The sequence below is a fragment of the Homo sapiens genome, chromosome 10 (genome assembly GCF_000001405.40).
Source record: "Homo sapiens chromosome 10, GRCh38.p14 Primary Assembly".
Lineage (NCBI taxonomy): Eukaryota > Metazoa > Chordata > Mammalia > Primates > Hominidae > Homo > Homo sapiens.
Genome location: NC_000010.11, coordinates 99,732,211 through 99,757,881, shown reverse-complemented (window position 1 = coordinate 99,757,881; position 25,671 = coordinate 99,732,211). Strand labels below are relative to the sequence as shown.

The 25,671-nt window shown below is 38.1% G+C and overlaps 1 protein-coding gene across 1 annotated transcript; it reads right to left on the bottom strand.

Annotated features, from left to right (window-relative positions):
- Positions 1-1,747: 1,747 nt before the first annotated feature.
- On the bottom strand, positions 1,748-25,648 carry CUTC (cutC copper transporter). Its single transcript, NM_015960.3, has 9 exons — positions 25,473-25,648; positions 21,565-21,636; positions 18,113-18,172; positions 14,520-14,729; positions 13,810-13,845; positions 10,492-10,625; positions 7,486-7,513; positions 3,248-3,353; positions 1,748-2,257 (listed from the first exon to the last, which is right to left on the bottom strand). Exons 1-9 carry the CDS (start codon positions 25,531-25,533, stop codon positions 2,143-2,145), a joined length of 822 nt encoding a protein of 273 aa, NP_057044.2. The 5' UTR covers positions 25,534-25,648; the 3' UTR covers positions 1,748-2,142.

The window sequence follows — 25,671 nt, the reverse complement described above, 5'->3', positions numbered from 1 at the left end:
TATTATTTTGAAGAGATGGCAAATAGGCAATTATAACATCTGATAATGTCAACCGAAAAGAAACCTTCTTTAAAACTTCCTTGCCATTCTCTTCAAAGTTCTCGTATCACTGAATCTCCTTTCTTTTTCCTAAAAGATCTCAGGCTATTTGAGCTCACCTGTGGTTACTTCCCAGCCCCTATTGCTCCTAGATCTCTTCTCTTCCTCCTGAGGTAACTCTATGCCCTTTTCATATAAATCGTGTAGCCTCTCTAGGCTTCTTCCAATTTTCCTCTCTCCAGCCACTGTCCTCATTATACCAAAAAAGTCCAAAGATTAATAAATATTTAATATAAATAATTCTTTGTAAGACAGGAAAAGATGTGAATACCATCCTATTTCAGTATTTGGATTTCTTAAAACATCTGCATTATTTTTGTACTTCTGGATAATGTTCATATGATGTATTCCTTAATAGGACACATTTTAAGCAAAATAAGTTCACATTAAATCCATTTTATATCACATTTTTACTGCTTTCGCTTTAACTATGACTATGCCTTTAACCATGACTTTCTCCCTTGTCAGTACCTTATCCTAGTTCAGTGTTTCTTGACTATCATGTCTAAGGAGATTTTTTGGTCACTCCTTTTCCCTAAACACTCCTCTCTCCTGAAATTTTAATACCATAAATACACTGTATATTTGTTATGGACTGTATGTATATCTTGCTTTATACATAAAGAGGGGTTTGGATCATAATCCCCAAAGACACAATCCTGAATGCTATAATCCTGAATGTTGAAATCCTGAAAGATCAAAGTCCCTAAAATCTAGGCTGGGTGTGGTGGTTCAAGCCTGTAATCCCAGCGCTTTGGGAGGCTGAGCCAGGTAGATCATGAGGCCAGGAGTTCCAGATCAGCCTGGCCAACATGGCGAAACCCCATCTCTACTAAAAATATAAAAAATTAGTAGGGCATGGTGGCACACACCTGTAATCCCAGCTACTCAGGAGGTTGAGGCAGGAGAATCACTTGAACCCGGGAGGTGGAGGTTGCAGTGAGCCAAGATTGTGCCACTGCACTCCAACCTGGATGACAGAGTGAGACTCTGTCTCAAAAATAAATAAATAATAAATAAAGGCAAGACTCTTCATATAAACATTCATTAGTACACAATCTGTGCATGTTATTCAGAGGCTTCCTGGCCAAGGGGAAGCTCTTTATGCTTCAGTTACTCTCCTAAGATAGGAACAACAGTTCTATTATCAGTGTGTTGTTTGTGTAAAATGAGATTATAAATATGAAAGTGACAGACACAGGTAGTGATGAACTTTACCATTGGGACCTGGTCATAGGAAAAATATTTCATTACTAGAATCCATCTTTCCCATCTGTGACTTCAGTAGAAAGAAACTGCTGCTTTGATAACTTTCCTAACCCCCCTCTAGTTTTTACTATAGGTCTTTGAAAATTGTCAGATGGATCTTAGAGTTAAGCCATTTCTTTCCACTTGCAGGATAAGTAACCTGTTGAATGCCAGAGTTCACATCTGTCTTCGTAAGTCTAGGAACTTTGATATTCTGTTTCCAAGTCTGGGAATTTTCACACTGCACCATTTTACTCTGTACCCTTAGCATCTTGCCCAAAGCAGCATATCCAATCAGCACATAATAAAAAGAGAAAGTGTGGAACCAAATAAGACAACACTTTTCCTTTCATACTTGTAGGCTACAGGCTGTATTTAGTGCAAGAATAAGAGACTATACTGTAATAGTGGAAATTTTTATTTTACAAATGAAAAGTCAAAATACTGCTTTGAATTGACCCTTAAGTCACACTCTGAATTCATACCATGCAGTTAAAATTTTCCCAGTTCATCAATTAATTCCACTGAAAACAGACTAAGCTTCTGTCTATGGAAGAAGCACAGACCAGCTTTAACCATGATGACAATCACTGGTAAGACTAAGCAAAGGAAGTGACTGTATCTCTGTTTCAAATTCTTTTTCTTCTTGGGCACATTCTCCATGGCCATGTGAAACTTAAAACAAAGATTGCGACTGTCCTGGCCAGAGAAGAAGGTTAAAGCTGTGTCATAGAGAATTGCAGATTATAGTTCTACCTTCATCCTGTGATATCCATGTCTCTCAGAGAGGTCTGGCTACACCAGGATGTTCTTTGCGATAGCATTCAAAGTCCTTACTTTGGTCACATCTGTTACCTTTAGGGAATATTCTGAGCAAGAAAGTGAGGCTCCCATGGCAACAGATGAATTTCTGTAACAGAAATAATAAAGGAACAGATAATTATGTTATTAAATGGGCCCTCCTACTGCCGCTTCATTTTATAGACTATTTCATGATACAAGGGTAGGTCAAGTATGCTGGACTAGTATATTCCATAATTTTCATCAATTAATTACTTGAAACATCCAGCAGCTGAATCCACTGGACAGTATACTTGATTTTATATCTGGAATTGTAAGTTCTAAGGCTCTTGCTTCCTTTTTTTTTTTTTTTTCCTTTTTAAATTACAGGCATGTATCACCACGCCCAGCTAATTTTTTTGTACTTTTAGTAGAGATGGGGTGTCACCATGTTGGCCAGACTGGTCTCGAACTCCTGACCTCAAGTGATCCACCTGCCTTGGCCTCCCAAAGCGCTGGGATTACAGGTGTGAGCCACCTCACCCAGCCAGCCATCTTGCTTCTTTTACATTGTGTTTTTCCCAATTTATAAACAGAAATATTCAACTACTATTAAATTGTAAGAGTCTTCTTAAGTATTTAAAAAACCCCATATAATACTCACAATTTCTTAATGGTAATATAATTTCAAAATAACTGAAAACAGAGAACAAATGTGAGGGAAGACTAAGTACTAAAGGTAGGAGGGAGAAAAATGACTGACTCTTCCATCCTTACACCATAGTTATTAACTTTGCTACAGGAAATCATAGGCGAATGGGCACATGTGCATATCTGACTCATTTGAAGCTCAACTGCAGAATTTGTTTACTATTAACTGGTCTAAGTTCAGCAATGCCTTTACAAGGCAAGGTTCACCTATGTTCAAAGAGCCTGTTTATTTAAGACAGGACAAGAACCATTTTAGAAATGTTTTTCAACTACAAAAACAACTACAATACTTATGTAGTAGTCACAATATTCCATTGATTAATCATGCCCCCATCCAAAGTTTTTCTATTTGGGAGAAAGTAAAAATTAATCTCATCCTTCTTATTTGAATCGAAGAATACATTTTTACCGAAACTTCATTCCCGAGTCTCTAGTAGACCGAGCAGAACAGTGGAATTCTGTAGCACCTGAACCCTCAAGGATCCTTTGTAGATTTCTGTCTGTTATACCACCTCCTGTTGCAAAGAATAAGTAACACATTAAGTAAAATAGAATTTTGCATAAAATTTAAGGAATAGTAACGACTGCTTACTTTACTTGGAATCCCCAAACTGAATTTCTCATTGATTCAAAAATTAGTCTCTCCCTACCCAGCTAGAATGAGATTAGAGAAGTGATAAAAGATATATAGGCTACAGACTCTGGGGAAGTACCATTAAGTTTATAGAACATGTATGATAGAATCTTATCTGTCCATTGGCTAATATAACAATGCTATCCCTGCTTGTCCCTCAATTAAAGCAAAATCAAATTAAAAAGAAAGGTAAGGATAGGTTTGAGGAAAAAAATCTACAAAAGCACAACCTCAGAGATGTGTCTGAAAGAGAACCTCTGTTCTGTCTCTAGCCCCAGATGTAAAGACTACACTGACTTCATTGGAAACAGGAATAATGCAAGGTATTATACAGGTTATTAGTTACGATATCAGCTTTATACTTCATTTCACAGAAGAATCTGATTCTACTTTATTAAAACTGTACCACCAAATATTTTATGACATTTGTTTTGATGAACAATCTTTTAAATATTTATATATAAAGAATCATATTCTGAACTGATACTAGTGTATCATAAATATGAAATTAGTTTATTCATCTTTATATCCTTATCTCCCTATAGGATGTACTCAATATTTTAAAACTATGTACTTTGTATCTCAAGCCATTAAAGATGCTGAAATAACCTATTTTTACACACTCTTTCAGACTCATTAACTTGTCTTTTTTTCCTTAGTAGTACAGTAATATCACTGAGCCTTAAGAAATAGAAAAAAGGCTGAGTGTGGTGGCTCCCACCTGTAATTCCAACACTTTGGGAGGCCAAGGCAGGAGTATCACTTGAGCTCAAGAGTTTGAGACCAGCCTGGGCAACATGGTGAAACCCCGTCTCTACAAAAACATACAAAAATTAGCTGGATGTGGTGGTGGGTGCCTGTAGACCCACCTATTCAAGAGGCTGAGGTAAGAGGATCACTTGAGCCTAGGAGGCAGAGGCTGCAGTAAGCTGAGACTGCACCACTGCACCATAGCCTGGGCGACACAGTGAGACCCTGTCTCAGAAAAAAAGAAAGAAATAGAAAAAATACAGGCTGAGTAGATTTAGACTGAAATCCTGGCTTTATCACTGTAGCTCTTCACAGCTATGTGATCTTAGATAAATTATTTAAATCCACTGACCTCAACTTTTTTGCCAATAAAAGAGGGATAATACTGGCTACCTCACAAGCTTATTGTAAGGATTAAGAGACAAATATATTATTTCCTTCTATTCCTTCTAACAAATAACAAAACATCTGGCCACTGAAACACATGTTGCTAAGTTATCAGCAACTTAAGTACATAGGTAATACATCTTTCCAGACTCAGACTAACACAGCTCTATGGTTAAAAAGGATCCCACAGAACTAGTTTAATATTCTTCTCTTTATAGATGAAGAAACCAGAGCCTAAATATGTTGTAGGTTTCATTATGAAAGTTCCTAGAGGGCAACTACCTCTTTATATTTCTCAATGATGAATACTTATTAGGCATTCAGAATGACTTACCTAGGAGTTTTTACTTGCTGGTACTTATTCATATGAAATTGTAATACATTTGTGTTTATAAGTCTATTCTGTGAGCTCCTCAAGTAGGATTACTTTATTTCTGTTTTCATATCTATCACACAATTAGCATAAAATATACATAATTGTCACACAATTAACATTTACCTGATAAGGTTTGTTAAAGAAATTAATCACAAATATTTTTGTATGTAACATCTTTTGACCTGAGTCAGCTTCTTGAGAACGTAGTTTCTTGTGTAGCTTTGCATCCCAAGTAATGCCTTGCACACAGCTGATAACAATTGCATATTAAACAAAGGTACTCTTAATGTCAACAATTGTCTAAGTATTACTTGTCAAAACTATATATATTTAGTGCTAAATGGAAAAGCATCACACTCAGAGTCTCTTTAACATTCCTTGATTAACCAAAAAGGACCACAATTTGACAGATAATATATACTTTCTCTCTGCTTATGTTTCAAGGGCTTGTTATAGGTCAAAGCCTTCCTAAATATCTGACAATACCCCTTATATGGCCTTTTTTTTTTTTTCTTTTGACACAGGGTCTCACTCTGTTGCCCAGGCTGCAGTGCAGTGGTGCGATCATAGCTCACTGCAGCCTTGACCTCGGGCTCAAGAAATCCTCCCACCTCAGCCTCTAGAGTAGCTGGGACGTCAGGAGCACGCCACCATGCCCAACTAATTTTTTTACGTTTTGGTAAAGATGGTGTCTTACTATATTGCCCAGGTTCACGGCCTCTTTTTAAAAGTTACTCTTTATCTAGGTGTCACTATTTTGAACGCTGGTCAGTCTTGACATCACTAGTAGTGAGATGACCAGAGACTGAATACCTTCTGATGTGATGTCATATGATGTAAGTATGCAGAATCACCCATGAAGTATTCTGACCAAAAATATTTAAGCAGAGTCTATTCAAACCTCATGATTTAACTATTAGTTTATAGGATATACAGAGGCACGAGGAACAAGCTAAACAATATCATGAGGAAATAATCTGATAAATCCAGAAAGTAGGACATTTTACAGGGTAAGTGATCCAAACTTTTATTTTATTTTGAGACGGAGTCTTGCTGTGTCACCCAGGCTGGAGTGCAGTGGTGCAATCTCAGCACACTGCAACCTCCGCCTCCTTGGTTCAAGTGATGCTCATGCCTCAGCCTCCCAAGTAGCTGGGATTACAGGCACATGCCACCATGGCCGGCTAATTTTTGTATTTTTAGTAGAGACAGGATTTCACCATGTTGGCCAGGCTGGTCTCGAACTCTTGACCTCAGGTGATCTGGCTGCCTCAGACTCCCAAAGTGCTGGGATTACAGGCGTGAGCCACTGGGCCCAGCCCAAACTTAATAATGTAACTTTTTTTTAAAGCAAGAAAAATAAAAGGAAAAACATCTATATTAAAGATATTTTAAAAGATAATAGAACTGGGCATGGCAGCGTGCAACTGTAGTCCCAGCTACTTGGGTGGCTGAGGCAGGAGGATCGCTTGAGGCTAAGAGTTCAAGTCCAGCCTGGCCAATATAGCAAGACCTCATCTCTAAAAACAAACAAACAAACAAAAGATAACCAAAAATGTAATGCTTGTTCCTTGACTGGATCCTAGTTTGAACATATCAGCTATAAAAACCATTGTGGGGACAATTGGAGAAAGTTGAGTATTAAATGTTTATTGTGATAGATGTGATAATGGAATTGTCATTATGGTAACATCCCACCCTTTTTAGAGATAAATAAAGATAAAATGCCATGATGCTTTCAATTTAACTTTAATAAAATACCTCAGGATAGAAAAAAGATGAGACAAATTTGGCAAAATGTTAAATCTAGGGAATGAGCATATGAGTATTCATTATGCTATTTTCTACTTTTTTATATGTTTGAGAAACTTAATTAAAAAAATTAAGATTGTCTTTACATTTGTCTCACTCTTCTATGTTGTATTATCTAATTCTTTAAAAACTGCTCCAACTGTTCATTTCTAGTTAGCCATTATGAACTTAACTGATCTTATGGTTATCATCAGGATCATATGATTAAATTCTGGTTACAAGAAATAATTTGGCAATCAGAGATTTTCAGGAACTGAGACAGTATTATATTTTACCCAAGGATGTTGCCTAAACCTTTGCTTAAACCCTGTTTATTAGGACATTTGTCCTAAACAAAATATGATTAGCATCAAATTTGATGTGCCTCACCAGAGATGAACATCTGAATTCATAAAGTTCTATATAATGGGAGAGCAAATATGGAGAAACCTCAATCTCTATCTGCTTCCTTATTTGCTCCTCTTTGAGCTAATGCCTATTACAATATTTTCCTTCTTATCTAAACTTTTAAATTCTAGCACAGATCTCCCAGTTTTAAACATTTTAATCAAACTATATATTCTTCTCTTTAAAGATCATGTACTAATATGTAATGTACTAATACTCTCTCTCACATTTTCCTGCCTCCTTTGCTCTTCCTCCACTATAGTTCAGTGTTATGCTAGTGAATTGATAGATAAATAAATACCTGGCATTACCACAATCCTGCCTTTTGCCTGAAAAAAGAAAAAAAAAAACAAGTGAATTTTAATATCTTTCTCTTGAATGGGATAATAAGGCAGTGAGAATAGAAACATAAGTCAGAATATATTAAATTTTAAAAATTACTATTAATGTTTAATTTTTACTAGATCTTCTCTATTTCTTTGGGATCTTGGACAAGTAAGATGTCCAGCATAGTAAATTTGTCTCTAGAAAATTATCTTTCCAAAAAGTCATTTTCCCCCCCAATAAGTGCCATTTTCTCCTTCCCCTTCACCTATTAAGATGGTATATAAGCCCCCAATTCTAAGTCATATTTCTTTGTGAACTTCTGTATGTACTTACATATATATGTACTTATGTGATAAAATCTCTTTTTACTCCTGCTAATCTGTCTTTAGTCAGTTTAATTTGCAGGCCCCCAATAACAAACCCTGAGGATAGAAGAAAAGTTTTTCCTCCCTGACATGGTGAGTAAGAGAAAGTTCCTGCTCTCATGGAGCTTACACATTCAAGAAAGACGAGACAATGCACAGGGATATTTATACAATAAAATTCCAGGTAGCAATAAGTATAACAAAGAAAAAATAAAGCAAGTGAATAAATAAAGCAAAAAATAAAGTTAACAAGAGAGTGAAAGAGGGGAGTGGCTATTTCAAATAATTTAAAAATTGTTAGGGAAATAAATGGAACAAGGATGCTTCATATTCTCAAATGGCCTGAACAAAGCATCCATAAAACAAAACATTGACTATCTAAAAAGCTGAAATCACTTCAGAATGGAAAAAAGTCATATTTGCCTGTTTCTTCCAAATCAAGGCTTTCCAAAACATAGAGAAATAATATTTTTAAAGAAATGAATTCTACCATTTCTTTTCGCCTTCCATACAAGATTATTTAGAAGTATATGCTTATCTAAGGCTATCAAAGTGATTTAATAATATAGAGCAGTCACTAAATGTCAGATTTAATAATATAGAACAATTACTAAGTGCTATAACCTGAAGAAATCCCTCACAACTATTCTAGGAGGTAGGTGCTATTATTATCCTAACTTTGCAGAAGAGCAAAGCTGAGGTTTAGGATGGCTAGGTAATGTATCCATGGTCACTATTAGTAAGGGTCAAAGCCAGGGTTTAAACACAGACCTGTCCAATCACAAAGCCTATGCTTTAACTAGTATGTTACACTACTAGGTAGTTACTTCAGTGAAGTTAATGTATGAGAATATTTGAGTAGCTCTTCCTACTAACCAATAGATTAACATACAAATAACAGACATACACACACACATACACATTTTGAAATGCAATACATTACTATGGCGGTTATATCTTATTTGCTACTCCTTACTGAGTAACCTTTTAAAACTGGAAACCTGACTCATCAACTCTTCTATTTTAAAACACTTTAGGCCTCCCCGCTGCACCATGAAAATAAATACTTTAATAAGGTTTTCAAGGCTCTGGATATCATTCTGTCCACATTCAATATTCTGGCCATTCCTCAGTGTTTTAAGTTATGCTTGCTTTTGTTTATAGCCCTTGCTTATACTATTTGTTTTGTATGGAACAATTCCACCAACATCCCCTTCACCCTCACTCCCACTGCCCCCAACTTTTACACAGATAACTCCCAAACATCCTTCAAATGAGTAAAACACTGCAGTCTGGATGTCTTTTCTTCTGGGAAGCTTCCTCTAATTATTGCCAACCTTCATTTCCCCAAATTTGGGGTTAATTCCTCTCCAATGTACTCCTATAGTACCTTTTAAAAATAGAGCTCTATTAAAATTGCCTGCTCTATTAGAAGTGCCTGTTCTGCACTAAATTGTAAGGATAGTGACTACACACAGACACTTAGCCCTTGGTTACCCCCACAGTACAAATGTCCTGCATCTAATATATATTTAATAAATGTCTGTGAAACCATTACATCCCAGAATAGCAAAGTCACATCAGATCTTTAGGAGAAATTTCTGAAAATTATTTTCATGGCTATAGAAAAGTGAAAATAAGCAGATGTCTACACAGGAACATTAGTATTATTAATAATAGCAGTAATAACAGAACCTAACATTATTAAGACCTAGTATATGCCAACCACTGTGCTAAGCCTCTAACACATCCCATCTTTAGCAATCTTCTGAGAAACTCTAAAATAAGTATTAAACTCATCTCAGTTTCACACAGGGGGAAAGAGAGGCTTAAAGACTATTAACCTGCTCAACATCACATAGCAAGTATCAAACCCGAGTCTCAAACGCTCAACTCTCTCATCTCAAAGTCTGTACTCACTAACTTATAATGCCTCTGGACTGACATCAGAAAAATACACATACTATTAATTACAAAGTCACCTTCTGAGTGCTCTACAAATGATGCTAGCTCACCAGGAAAACTCATAAAATAGAAAAATATATTTCCTCTTATATTGACAGATGAGAAGAAATAAGATTATAATTTTAGTTTTGGAATTTACCTCCAGATGATAATTTTATATGGGATCCCCTGAATATACATGGGCTGACAATGAAAAGATGTGGCTTAAAACTGCAATGCTGGCTGGGCGCAGTGCCTCATGCCTGTAATCCCAGCACTCTGGGAGGGCAAGGAAGGCAGATGGCTTGAGCCCAAGAGTTCGAGACCAGCCTGGGCAACACAGCAAGACCTTATATCTAAACTAAAAAATAAAAATAAAAAGTAAAAAAAACTGCAATGCCCATGGCAGAGAAAAGGTAAAATTTGCTGTGCTTATCCAAGTTAGATCAGATCTTTAGGCACTATCTATATGTAATTTGATCTTGAAAGCCTTGGTTATTAAAAAGGCTTGTGTGAAAGAAATAAGAATTATATACATTATTGCCTGCTTGCTTTTCCTACAGAGTAACCACAAAGTCAGTAATATATAGTCTCACAAACTGGCTAAACAGCAGAATGTCAGGAGTAACCACAACAGAGTCTTAGGGGAAAAAAAGATAAAGTCCACGTACCTGCTCAATGAGTCGCTTTATTAGGGGTAGCCCTTCTAATGCTGAACTGTCACATCCACTGGTCAACACGCGTTCAAATCCCAAGGTTAAGAGGGTCTCCAGAGCTGCCATTGGATCATGAACCATGTCAAAGGCTGAAATAAATAAAACTGATGTGAATTTTGAACAGGTATCTCTAACGCAGAGTTTCCCAAAATGTAGTATACATGCAGTGGCATGCTGGACCTAGCTTGTACTGGCTTACAAAGGCCAATTATTAAACACTCAAGAATTCTGCAAGTCAGATTGTTAATCCACTGGCAGCCTGAAATTAGTGAAGGTAGGGCCAGGTGCAGTGGCTCGTGCCTATAATCTTGGCATTTTGGGAGGCCGAGGTGGGGAGATCACTTGAGCGCAGGAGTTTGAGACCAGCCTGGGCAATGTGGCAAGACCCCATATCTACAATACAAAAATTATCTGGGCATGGTGGTGTGCACCTATAGTCCCAGCTACTCGAGAGGCTGAGATGGGAGGATCACCTGAGCCTAAGGGGTCGAGACTGCAGTGAGCCAATTGCACCATTGTGCCCTAGCCTGGACGACAGAGCAAGACTTGTCTCAAAAGAAAAATAAAAATTTAATTAATAATAATAAAAAAATTCAGTGAAGGTAGAGTATTTAAACCACAGAAATTTAAAAATGCTACAAATCAGGGCTCTTTTTTCTAGGAGCCAGTTCATCAGCACACCACAGTCTACATACCACTGTGCATAATCATTTTAATAATGGTACACATTTAAATAGTATATTTACTTAAATGCAGATAAGAAATGAAAAGTTTTCAATATAAAGTAATTATAAAAGTTTCTATTTAAAATAAATTTACTTTTTTTTAACTTTTTTTTAAGTTCAGGGGTACAAGTGCAGGTTTGTTATACAGATAAACCCGTGTCTTGGGAGTTTGTTGTGCAGATTATTTCATCACCAAGGTATTAAGCCTAGTACTCATAGTTATTTTTCCTGATCCTCTCTGTCCTCCCACCCTCCACCCTCGGAAAGGCCCCAGTGTGTGTTGTTCCCCTCTATGTGTCTATGTGTTCTCATCATTTAGCTCCCACTTATGAGTGAGAACATGTGGTATTTGGTTTTCTGTTCTTATGTTAGTTTGCTAAGGATAATGGTCTCCAGCTCCATCCATGCCTCTGCAAAGGACATGATCTTGTTCTTTTTTATGGGTGCATACTTAAGATTTTATTTAAAGAAAATGATTAAATAAAAATGTGCACAGGTAGCACTCATATATGGTAAAATTTTAAATGTGATAGGCAGGTGAGTCAAATTTGGGAAACTGTTCTAAGGCTTCAGAAATATTGGACTAGGTAGAATGAAACACTGTACTCACCAGTTCTAGAAAAAGCCTTGGCTCACATTCTCATTACTGACTAATATTTTGGATTAATCTATTAACCCCACATACTCAAGGTTCATAGCATAAGGGTAGTTGTTTTCAACAGACTATATGAAGTTTCACTTCCAACCTACTTTTTTTTGTTTGTGAGATGCAGTCTTGCTCTGTCGCCCAGGCTGGAGTGCAGTGGCACGGTCTCGGCTCACTGCAACCTCTGACTCCCTGATTCAAGTGATTCTCCTGCCTCAGCCTCCCGAGTAGCTGGGATTACAGGCATGCGCCACCACGCCCAGCTAATTTTTGTATTTTTAGTACAGACGGGGTTTCACCATGTTGGCCAGGATGGTCTCAATCTCCTAACCTTGTGATCCACCCACCTCGGTCTCCCAAAGTGGTAGGATTATAGGGGTAAGCCACTGTGCCCAGCCCCATCCTACTTTCTAAGAGATTTCTCCCCTCCTCAGAGCCCTCAAAGAGTAAAGTGGTATCAGGAAACTGAAAACAGAAAATCTACTTCTGCTTTGGTTCTCATACTGCTACATGACATTGAAGCTCTAGCCTGCAGTGGATTAGGTGGTAGTGGTCCTCTGGGACAGGCCCCTTCATTTCACCCTTTAGTGTATGTAGGCAACTAAATCTACCACAGAGGATTTCCCTATTTTGGTGGCAGCACCTTCTCACCACTAAAACTATATTATGATATCTCATTAAATACATTAGTGAGAAAAATGTGGAACCCAAAAATTCTACAAATTTTGAAAATATGAAAATATTTTTGTTAAACCTATTGGAATAAAGAACAGAACAGAAATTTGAAGTAAAAAAATTTTTTTTGACTGTAGACTTCTTTTCATGTGCAATGGCAGTGCTCTCTGAAGGCAAAATAGATACTTGTTCTTCCATTTTACCAAGGTGTAGCCTAAGAGTATAGAAATTATAACTACCTGATTTTTTGGCCAGGGGTGGTGGCTCACGCCTGTAATCCCAGCACTTTGGGAGACCAAGGCGGGTGGATCACGAGGTCAGGAGTTAAAGACCAGCCTGGCCAAGATGGTGAAACCCTGTTTCTACTAAAAATCCAAAAATTAGCTGGGCATGGTGGCAGGCGCCTGTAATCCCAGCTACTCGGGAGGCTGAGGCAGAGAACTGCTTGAACCCGGGAGGCAGAGGTTGTAGTGAGCCGGATCGTGCGACTGCACTCCAGCCTAGGCGACAGAGCGAGACTCCGTCTCAAACAAACAAACAAAAAAAATTATATCTACCTGATTTTTTACAGGAAATATTTCTTTACAAGAAAGTATCACATTAAAAAATCACTGTGGTGCAGACAAGCTATAATGAAAAATAATTTTGTATACTATTGTGGACATCTGTTCATTGACTAGATAGTCAACACTAGATTGCATCTGTTTCTCCTTTCTCCCTTCCTAATAAGACCCAATTCTTCTCCAGATACCCAACTTTCTCTCCCCTTAAGAAGTCTCTATCTGTGAAACCCCACCTCACTGCTAGCCCCAGGGATGGTTTTGCCTGGCTTAAGATAGACAGTACCTTTCATTTCACCAGCCACAACAATTTATTCTTTTGGGGTTGCACATGACCTAATACAGTCTCAGTTAAAATGAGTCTCAGGATTCTTGCTTGGAATGCTATGATAGGTACACACACTTGAAGGCAATACTTGCTCTCTCCCTCGCTCTCTTATATCCCACCACCACCTACACCCACTTTTAACAACTTTTCATAACTAAGGCTTCAAATTTTCTAGAAATTGCACATCTCTACTTTTATAACTTTTAGTCCTAGGATCTAAAAAACCAATTGGTAACCTTGGAACACTACAGAATTGTGTTCCATAAAAAGGTGGTGGCAGTTGTTGAAATTAGAAAACTAACACTGTTCAATAGAACTTTTAAAATGAAAATGACTCACCTCGGTGGAAAGTGACTGGCAGAGGGCGGCAAATAGCTATAAAAAGAAAGTCATATAACAACATGAATGAAGATGTCATCACTGATTACTATATATAGAATTCTCCATGTTAGCTGAAACTTTTTAATACTTTCTTCGCCTAACAAGACAGTAAACTGACATAATAATAAAATGGCAGCCTTACAAATTCAAAAGTCTTATCTTTCCACAAATCTCTGATTTTTATACAAAAAAATGGTCGTGGCTTATCACCAAATGAAAACCATTTAATCTGACAACTATAAGGGCAGCATTACATCTAATACTTGTCCCTCTGAGGTCATTCAATAAGTACTTTGGTTTAGTAACATAGGTAGTTTGCTTCTGTCCTCTTTGCATCTTCCAACTTGGTGGTCCATCCTCACCAACTATAATACTTTTGAAGTTCTTGGTGCAGTGGTTAAAGGAACCATGGTAAATTTCCCTTAAATTTCTATTCTATGGGAACAGTAGCGGAGCCTAATCTATAGCAATTGAGGAGAGTTAAGAAGGCTTTGCCACACATACACCCCACCCCAAACATCTAAATAACTACTATTTGAAATACTTAGGTTAGTATAAGTGTCTGTAGCTATGACCGCAAAGTCAGTTTTGTGATGTTGTTTTTCTATATTGTGAGCATAAATACAATTATCATTAGAGGCTTTTACGTCTTAGATACAAATTCTTACCCATAAGGGACATACACAGCTCTTTGTCAATGTGTCCATCTTCAGTCAATGCCCCAAAAACCAAACCATCAGCACCATAAAGCTTGGCAAGACGAATGTCAGCCTTCATCACCTCAATTTCACGATCTGAATACAAAAAATCACCTCCCCGTGGCCGAATCATCACAAAAACTGGGATCTGAACACTCTGCTTCACTACTTGAAGGACACCTACAAGAAAAGAAAGCAGATTAAAATTCAAATGTGAGCTAAAAGCCAATGATATATTATTGGTCATTTACCAGACAAAGATGGCTCTAAAAGGTAGGACAGACACTGAGAAGAAAAATGTATATATGGTAGAAGGTAAGTAATAGCAAAGGGTTAAATAGAACGATTTAGAAAACAGAAGATGCTACAATTTAAAAGCACTTGTCAGTTGACTCAACAAAAATCCTTATGACTCAGAACCCTTTTATTGGTAGGTGACATTTGAAAGTGCAATAACTACCAGGCTCGATGTTCTGCCAGTACATTATTCCCCAAGATCCAATTTCTTCTTTCTAATTCATTACAGCTCTATTTAAAACCTACTGGAGAGATGGTTAAATAGCTTCAAAGTTCATATTCCTTTAATGGGCAAAGACATTTAGCAAAACCTTTTTTTTTTTTTTTTAAACAAGATACGTGAAAGGGAGCAAAGTTCTACTTATTTGTGATTTTATGCAGAGATCTATGCATAAAAGTACCTAAATATGCCATAATAAGTGGCTAGCTCATAAACCATCAATAGTATAAGGCTGTGACAGGCCCCATCAGTTGTTTACCCAGTATGAATTTCTTTCTTTTTTCTTGCTAAAAGAACTCCAATTTTGCATAGGATAGCAGTTGTCCAATACTAAGCAATGAATCATAATTGGTGTTACAAAAACAGACTGTACTCAAATTTACAGACATGCTCTAGGGATTTTAGAATGGCCAGGAATGCCCTCTTTTCATGTGAAGATTCCAAAGGGCTGTTGTGTATACAAACTTTTTACATTAAATAATGCTATTATCAACCTCAGAGTAGCATAACTTAGGAGACCACAATTCATACACAGACTTCTGCTTTTGGCCAAGACAGGGTAACAGTGACTGGATTTACCCTCCCACCTATAATAATAATAATAATAAAAAAACAGACAAAATATATGAAACAGTGGTTTGCAAGACACTGGACATTAAGCAGTGAAGGGCAATGATCCTTGAAAATGGTAAACAATGAAGTTAGTAAGTCAATTCTGATTGACCCAATTTACTGCCTTGAGAGTTTCTAGGCCAAAGCACAGGGATGGGGGACCCACATGGAGCCAAAACAATTCCCTGAGTTAAGGAGACAAAGCTTAGAGTTCAGGAAGACTGAAGTAGCTAGAGTTTATAGGAGACAGTACAGGGAGGACAGAAAGATAACACTGGAGTAGCAAAGACTATCTCAATGGTTTAAAAAAAGGATTTTTTTTAAAAAAGATAGGCTTGGTACGGTGGCTCATGCCTGTAATCCCAGTGCTTTGGGAGGCTGAGATGGGTGGATTGCCTGAGGCAAGGAGTTCAAGACCAGTCTGGGTAAAATGGTGAGACTCCATCTCTACCAAACAAACAAACAAACAAATGTAGCTGGACATGGTGGCATATGCCTGTAATCCTAGCTACTTGAGAGGCTGAGGCAGGACAATTGCTTGAGCCCAGGAGTTTGAGGCTGTAGGGAGCTATGGTCACACCACTTCAGTCAAGCCTGGACAACAGGTGAGACCCTGTCAAAAGAAAAAAAGGAAGGAAGGAAAGCAAAGAGAGAGAAAAGGAGAAGGAAAGAAAAGAAAGGAAAGGAAGGAATGAAAGAAGAAAGGAAGACAGATAACTCTGGAGGTCTGCAGAGAACCTCCTTTAATATTCAGCTGAGTACTGACCGGTGCATGCATGCAAAGAAACTACGCAAGGCCTGGGACAGAACCAATAAAAAGGATTAGAAATAATGTGCCTGTCATTCATACCAAGCTGTGAATAATGCCTATTCCACCAGCCAGACAGGAAAATTTCAAAATTCATGGTCACAGGGTAGAGTTCACAGAAGAATCCTGACTCAGTAGTAAGGAATAATTAGCTCTGTATTAACCACTGCTCCAGACTTGCCCAGCAAATCTTAAAAGCAAGACCCAAAAGGACCAAACTGTTTTGGAACATTTGTAGGAATTCAAAAATGTCTAGTAACCAATAAAGTAAAATTCACAATGTCTTGCATCCAATAAAAAATTACAAGGCAGGAAAATAAGATATATTATTAGATGATAAATCAAATGAAACAAACCCAGAACTGATATAGATGTTAGAATTCGCAGACAAGGTCATTATAACAGCTATCATAACTTTATTCCACATGTTCAAAAAAGTTAAGAGACATCAGAGACATAAAAAGACTCAAATTTCTACAGATGAAGACTACAATGTATGAGATGAAAACATACCAGGAGAGACTAATAGCAGATTAGATAGTGCAGAAGAAAAGGTCAGTAAGCTCAAGGACAAAACAATAGCAACTATGCAAAATGAAAACACAGAAAGGAGATTTTCTTTTAAATAGAGAAGTTCATCAGTGACTTTTGGGACAATTTCAAGTAGTCTAATGTAAGAATAGCTTAAGTCTCTAAAGGAGGGAGTGGAGAACAAGCTGCAAGCTGAAAATTTTCCAAATGTGATGAGAAGTATAAATGCACAGGTCCAAGAAACATGAAAAAACTATACTCAGGTACACCATAAGAAAATTGTTCAAAACCAATAATAAAAAAATCTTAAAAGTAGGTAGAAAAAAGAGACATATTACATAGAGAAAAACAAAGATATGGATGATAGCTTTTTGTCAGAAACAATACAAGCAAGACGACAATGGAAAAACATCTTCAAAGAAAAAAAAAACCTGTCAACCTAGAATTCTATACCCAGCAAAAATACCTTTCAAAAATGAAGGAAAAAGCTATTTTAGACATATAAAAGCTGAAGGAATGAATCACTAGCATACTTTTTAACAAAAAAAGTTAAAGAAAGTACTTCAGGCAGAATGAAAATGAAACCAGACAGAAATACGGGATCTACACAAAGGAATAAAGAACACCAGAAATGGTAGTTGCATGTGGGTAAATATATGATTTTTTTCTTATTATTTAAATCTCTTATTTAACAAAAGATAATTGACTCTTCAAACAAAACTAACAATACAGCATGGAGTTTTTGATATATGTATGAGTAAAATATATGACAACAATAGCACAAAGACCAGGAGGGGATTTCAATATACTAAGGATGCCAGCATGGAAAGATTTTATAAAAGCCTAATCCTTGATGTTACTACAGAGCAGCTGAACCGGTATTAACAATTACCTACCTACCTTTCAACTTTTTGATGTGAGAAAGAAATATGTTTGATCAAATCTTTGATTTTTTTACAATCATAAACATTTCTGATACAACATCCATAACATAGTTAACATGACATTAGTAAAGGACCCCAACGAAACTGATTATCAGTTGCTTCCAGGCTCTATGAACTCCAATCAGAAAACCTGGGAAAAATGGACACTTACCCATGCTGGGTGTAGTTCCCCCCTCTGATAAACCAGAACATAATTCAATCCGATCAGCACCTGTAATATAAAAGCATTGCTCAACACATTTTTAAAAAATAAGCTGTTATTAAACAGCAACCTGTTTATATATATTTTTTCCAAATATAGAACAGTCTTAGAAATCATCTCAGAGAAATCAAATTATAAAGCTAGAGTAAAACTCTGTTTTTAACTCAGCTATACTCTGCAGCCCACATTGTGTTACTCATACTCAAATTTAAAAATTAATTAAAGTTAAGCTAGTTCTCTTAAATTTTTGTATTATAGGGTTGCCTCTCTATGTACAGGAAAGTAACATAGAATAAAGATGTTTCTTAAAACTGACTATAGTGGAATACTGAGTCTTTGTTGATAAGAAAATAACATAATATTTCCCAAAAGGGTCTTTATTATTCTAAGCTTTAAAAAACACAAAGCTACTTTTGAGTAGCTAAACCAAGATAATTTCAAGAATAAGAAAATGCTGAAACCAAAAGAATTATTAGGCTACCAAGGTCACATCAAAAGATCTCAGGAACCAGTTTGAAGAAGCTCTCACTAGCCAAAGATAGAACATTTTGTTCATCAATAAGCAGAATAACTACAATGGATTAAAACACACAAAATATATCTAAATCTACATTCATAATGACAAAACAATTCAAGGGAAGACAGAGAACAAATTCATTATTCTAAAAAGTATTATAATAAATAAGGGAAAATAAGCAAGCATTTATTCTGCCTTTCTTATACAAACCATACTTCAGCATAACCAAACAGAGGATGAGGGAAAGTTCTTTACAGAACTATTCTAGTTCATAAGTGAAAAATAAATGTCACCATTTTGCAACCCCTACTAAAATATGGGTTGCTAAATTTATTAGGTGAAAAGCTGACAGAAAACCTTAAGGATAGATTAGGCTGGCAATACCTGAACTCCCTGTTCAATCTTAATATCACAAAAACAGAAAAAAACCAACATGTTATGTCCTCCTGATGTGATGCAACAGGAAGTATATAATGTTATCTATAAATAAATTTTGTCAAAACTGAAATCTGAATCTGATTAGGCCTCTGGGCTAACTACCTTTATAGGAAATACAGTGGTCAGAGGACTATGTTAAACGATATCACACATATAATTAGCAAAATTGAGAGTATGGGATACTCTAAAAGATGAATATCACAGTTGCTTAACAAATAAATCTTAAGAAAGTAAACAAAGAATTAAAGAAAAAAGCAGGAGAAACTTACAGATTTAAAGAGACTTAAGAGGCATATAAAACAAATGAAATGTTTGGCTCTTGATTCAAAGAACTGTACACACACACACACACACACACACACACACACACACACCCTGTATGAGTCAACTGGAGAAATCTGAAAACTGGGTTATTTGACGATATTAAGAAATGATTTTTTTAAAGGTGTGTTAGTGACATTGTGGTGTTTTGTTCTTTAAAAGGGACCTTATCTTAAACAATATACATTAATAATTCCACATTATTTATGGATTTCTTATATATGTATGCATACTAGGCCTTTGAAAACAATAAAGAACTTAAACAACAAAAAAAGAGTCCTTATTTTTTTTTTTTTTGAGACGGAGTTTTGCTCTTATTGCCCAGGCTGGAGTGCAATGGCGTGATCTCGGCTCACGCAACCTCCGCCTCCCAGGTTCAAGCAATTCTCCTGCCTCAGCTTCCCGAGTAGCTGGGATTACAGGCATGCACTACCACGCCCAGCTAATTTTGTATTTTTTAGTAGAGACGGGGTTTCTCCATGTTGAGGCTGGTCTCGAACTCCCGACCTCAGGTGATCCGCCCGCCTCGGCCTCCCAAAGTGCTGGGATTACAGGTGTGAGCCACCGCGCCCGGCAAGAGTCTTTATTTTTTAGAGACACACACTGAAATATTTAAAATTAACATGATGTCTGGGATTTGCTTCAAAGTAATCTGAGGTTGGGAGAGGAAGGTAGGACTATAAATCAGGGGTCAGCAAACCATGGCATGTGGGCTATGGGCACATAGCTTGTTTTGGCTATGGCCTGCAAACTAAGAATGTTTTTGTATTCTTTTTGAAAAACAACAGCTTTATGGACATATAATTCACTAATACAATTCACCCATTTAAAAGTGTACAATTCAGTACTCTTTAGTATATACACAGAGTTTTGCAACCATCTCCACAAGTAATTTTAGAACATTTTCATCATCCCCAAAACAACCCTACACCCTTTAGCAGTCACCTACCCTTCTCATGCCTCTCAGCCCTAAGCAACTATTAATCTACTTTCTGTCTACATAAACTTACCTATTTTGGATATATATAAATGGAATCATATGTTGTATTTTCTTCCACTGGTTTCTTTCACTTAGAATAATATTTCAAGATTCATCTATATTATAGCATGTATCAGTACTTCATTCTTTTCTATTGCCAAAGTAAGAAGGATTTTTTTAACTTTTTTTTTTTTTTTAGACAAGATCTGGCTGTGTCACCCAGGCTAGAGTGCAGTGGTGTGACTGGCTCACTTCAGCCTCTGCCTCCTGGACTCAAGTGATCCTCCCACCTTAGCCTCCCAAGTAGCTGGGACTACAGGTGCTCACCACCACGCTTGGCTAATTTTTCTATTTTTTGTTGAGACAGGGTTTTGCCATGTTGCCTGGGCTGGTGTCGAACTCATGAGCTCAAGTGATCTGGCAGCCTCAGCCTCTCCAATTACTGGGATTACAGGTGTAAGCCACTGCACCCGGCTGATGTTTACATTTTCAAAAGATTTAAAAATAAAATAAGTGATAAAGATCAAATGTGTCCAGCAAGGCTGAAAATATATATACTATGCAGCTCTTCACAGAAAAAGTTTATTGACCCCTGAAATAAATGAAAAACTGGCCATGTGTTGAAAATGGGTGAAGATGAGTGATGCATACATGGGGCTTCATTATCCTATTTGCTCTACTTTTGTATATGTTTATTTTTCCATAATAAAATTTTTTTTTAATTTTTCTGAACCTGAGATGATGGAAATGTCTGTGCTTCCCATTAAAACAGGTTCAGAGTACAACAGAAACTTTGAGGGAAAAATAGATAATGTTCAAAAGTAAAAAAGATAAAATTCCTCATGATGAAGTCTCTGAAGTCATCTTTAAGTTAATGGTTTAAAAAAATTAAAATTTTGCTAAGTTCAATAAAAAATCAAGTCATTGAGTAAGTACTATTGTCGACACTTGACTTAAAATGTGACCCACTTGGGGAGAGGGAGAGACTAGATCATAATTTTCCAGTAGGGTTTCTAATTGGTTGTTTCTGAAAGCATTATGAGGGATGCTTAGAGATCACAAGGGCTTCTGAGATAAGCACACAGGATTAATTTTCAGACTCTTAAAAGGGTAGCCAACGGTCATTCACTATCTGATTTCTCTTACCTCCTCTTTCTGCATTCACAGCTGATTCCACTGAATCAACACAAACTTCCATGAGAAATCCATTTGCTGCTCCTAAAATACATGGAGAATGGTAAGAGTTCATAAAGGTTCTATCCATCCAGACCAATTTACCACAAAGGGTTTACATTCTGCTGCCAAAATGCAAATGTCCAATAACAGGTAATAGATAAGTACACTAGGGCCCATGAATGCAATAAAATATCACATTAATTATTGAATTGATGCCTATAGACTGAAATAGGTACACAGACAGATGTATAAAAAATTATACTGAGGAAAATGTCTATCGAATGCCAAATTAATCTTCCTAAAACATAGACCTCATCATCACATTCCAGCTGAGATTCTTACAATGCTTCTCAATGCCTGCAGAATATATTTAAACTTCTTTATAAGGAATATAGGTTTAAAAGCAGGACAGACTTCAAATCCATGTCCCACCAACTATTTAGTGTGAGATCCTAGATTAGTTACTTAAGTTTTCTATAAAACAAGGTAGATTTTAGTATGTACCTCAGAGTAGTGAGGATTAAATTAGATAATTCATGTAAAGTATATAGTCTCAAGAATCAAAAAGTATTAGTTATCTGGCCGGGTGTGATGGCTCATGCCTGTAATCCCAGCACTTTGGGAGGCCGAGGTGGGTGGATCACATGAGGTCAGGAATTGGAGATCAGCCTGGCCAACATGGTAAAACCCTGTCTCTACTAAAAATACAAAAATTAGCCAGGCATCGTGGCATGCGCCTGTAATCCCAGCTACTTGGGAGGCTGAGGCATGAGAATCGCTTGAACCCAGGAGGTGGAGGTTGCAGTGAGCCAAGATTGTGCTACTGCACTCCAGCCTGGGTGACAGAGTGATACTCTGTCTCATTCCTTCTTATGCTTCCAGATCTCTCCAGTCCCTACCGCTGGCTCCCCAATGCCTTCTCCTCAACCCAGAGTTCCTTCTGGCTTCATCTCTGAATAAAATTTTTCAAGGAACATTTCCATGATTTTTTCTGTCTCCCAAAGTAGAAAATTTTATGTCCCTCTTTTGAACTCATTTAACTCTTCATGAGTTATGAAACCCCAATTGTTCCTTCTTAAAATATGAATTACTTTCTACCTTTTATTATTTATGCAGATAAATATCTGATCACTTCTACTTGACTTAGAGTTCCTAAGTTTGTTTTTTTTTTTTTTTTTTTTTTTTTGATACAGAGTCTTGCTCTGTCGCCCAGGCTAGAGTGCAGTGGCATGATCTCGGCTCACTGCAACCTCCGCCTCCCAGGCTCAAGCAATTCTTGTGCCTCAGCCTCCTCAGTAGCTGGGACTACAGGTATGTGCCACAACACCTGGTTAATTTTGTATTTTTTGTAGAGATGGGGTTTCGCCATGTTGCCCATGCTGGTCTCAAACTCCTGCACTCAAGCGATCTGCCAGCCTCGGCCTCCCAAAGTGCTGGGATTATAGGCATGAGCCACCACGTCTGGCCTCCTAAGTAAGGTCTTTATGTGAGAAATCTTTATCATCACCCACACCAAGCACAGTATCTACCATGGTACACAATAATCAAATATTTACTAAAAGCTGAATAATTACAACAAAATTAATGTATTTATATTACAAAGTGTGATGTAAACAGAGTTTTGAGTTTTTTTCCGGGAGCACATAATTTAAAAAAATGAACGAAACAATGCACACTTCATGTAATGACACTTACTAGAATGTTCCTCACATACTGGTAATGGTCACTTCTGGTGGGGTGTGATTTGAAATTATTTTTATTTTCTTCTTTTTACTTTTCTTTATTGCTTTATTTTTTCTACCCAATATTGCTTTTATAATTTAAAAAAGCAATTTTTACTTTGAAAAACAAATAAAACAAAAACCTATCATCTGCTAACATCAAACTGCAATTGCCTTACTTATTTAAGACTATCAGTCCCTGTCCGGCGCGGTGGCTCACGCCTGTAATCCCAGTACTTTGGGAGGCCAAGGTGGGCGGATCTGAGGTCAGGATTTTGAGACCAGCCTGGCCAACATGGCGAAACCCCATCTCTACTAAAAGTATATAAATTAGCCGGGCGTGGTGGCGGGCGCCTGTAATCCCAGCTATTCAGGAGGCTGAGGCAGGAGAATTGCTTGAACCTGGGAGGTGGAGGTTGCAGTGAGCTGAGATCAGGCCACTGCACTCCAGCCTGGGCGACAAGAGCCAGACTCCGTCTCAAAAAAAAAAAAAAAAAAAAAATACTATCAGTCCCAAACTGTGAAAGGGTTAAGTGTCAATCTATGCTCTTAACCAACAGCTCTGCATTATTAACTCCATGAGTTTCCTGGTAGCTACCAGACCAGCTGTCAGATCAGTGGCACTGGCCGATGCTGATGCTGCCGGGGGACTATTTGCCTCACACAAGAAAGGACCCTAGGCAGGAGAAGATGGAGAGATGTATAAAAAAGGCTATGACAGAAGGCAGAGCAAGGCAGTTGTCCCAAGCAACAAAGTTATAGGATCAAAGGAGAAGCAGCAGCAGTTCTCAAAGTGTAGTAGTCCAGAGAGCTTTGGGAGCCTCTGAGACTTTTCAGAGTCTGCAGGGCTACAACCGTTTTCTTAATAATTCTAACACTTTATTTGACTTTTTCACTTTAATTCTCTCACAAGTGAGAGGCGTTTTCTTTTTTGAGGCAGAGTCTCACTCTGTCACCCAAGATGGAGTGCATTGGCGCGATCTCGGCTTACTGCAACCTCCGTGAAGAGGCGTTTTCAAGAGGCTACTTGACATGTTAGACTGAATGAAGCAGCGGGCATGAGAATCCAGCTGTCTTCCATTAAGATATACTGAAGAAACTTGCAAAAATATATTTCCACTCTTTTGCTTTTTTTGTTGTTGTTGTTTAGGAATATTTCTTTTTCAAAAAAATATTATGTCAATATGTAATGGGTTTACTATGGTTATTTTCTAATCAATATTTTAAAATTTTGTTTTAATTTTATTTTTATTTTTTTGAGACGGAGTCTCGCTCTGTCGCCCAGGGTGGAGTGCAGTGGCGCGATCTCGGCTTACTGCAACCTCCGCCTCCCGGGTTCAAGTGATTCTCCTGCCTCAGCCTCCCGAGTAACTGGTATTACAGGCGCCTGCCACCATGCCCAGCTAATTTTTGTATTTTTAGTAGAGACGGGGTTTCACCATGCTGGCCAGGCTGGTCTCGAACTCCTGAGCTCAGATGATCTGTCCCCCTCGGCCTCCCAAAAAAAAATTTGTTTTAATTTCTAATACAGTCAAAATAGATAGATGTAATCCACATAAAGAAAAAATCTTTGAGGATTCTTGATAACTTTTAGGAAGGTTCCTCTTCACGGAGGAAGAGGGACTTGCCAAATTCTCTGGCACCTGCCATGCCATGCTACCCTGGCACTCAGGAAGAACTCGGGTCTTGGAGCAGCCACAAGCTCGGCCACTTGGTAGCTGCGTGACTTTGGGGACCAAGCCCCGTCCCCGCCGTGGCAGCTACAGGTAACTGCAGGTTAGGAACTGGGCTCCGCGCTCGACAATTAACTATCCCAGCGGAGTACTGGCTGCTGGTGCGGGCGGTACTGGCATCCTCGTGTGGCGACGGAAAAAACGTGAAGCTGAAGTTAACCAACTTGCACAAGGTCGCAGGGCCGTTATGAGGGGACCCCGGGACTCGAACCTTGGCTCCACAGCTGAGCCATTCTCGCTACCTGCCCCTCGTCACGCCCTCCGTTTCCACACCTTTAACGCCTCAAAGATAGAAGGTGCCGCCCAAGGGGCTGGAAGGAGCTGAGGAAACGACTCCAGAAGAAATCACCACTGACTACGACTCCCGCCGGCCCGCCCCGGGGAGCCTTCGGCCGACCGTCCCCTCCCCCGCCACCTTCCGCACCGGCCTTCCCGGACGGTATCCGCGCTCGTTTTCGCTCAGAGGAGGCCCCCTGCCTTTTCATGCTCCACGCGTTCCTCCCTCGTGCGCCTGCAGTTTCCACTTGGAATTTGGGCTCCGGCGCGCACCAGCTAAGAAGCGCGTCAACAGCTGCGCGCGCCCGTGCGCGCGTCCCCGACACCTACGCCCCAGCAGCCCCCGC

Bases quoted from the DNA above. Each gene is read 5' to 3' on its own strand.
- CUTC (NM_015960.3), bottom strand. From the start codon at position 25,533: ATGAAAAGGCAGGGGGCCTCCTCTGAGCGAAAACGAGCGCGGATACCG. The intron at 21,637-25,472 runs GTGCGGAAGGTG...CATGTATTTTAG, and splicing joins GATACCGTCCGGGAAGGCCG to GAGCAGCAAATGGATTTCTC. The intron at 3,354-7,485 runs GTATTTATTTAT...TCTTTGCAACAG, and splicing joins CAGGATTGTGGTAATGCCAG to GAGGTGGTATAACAGACAGA.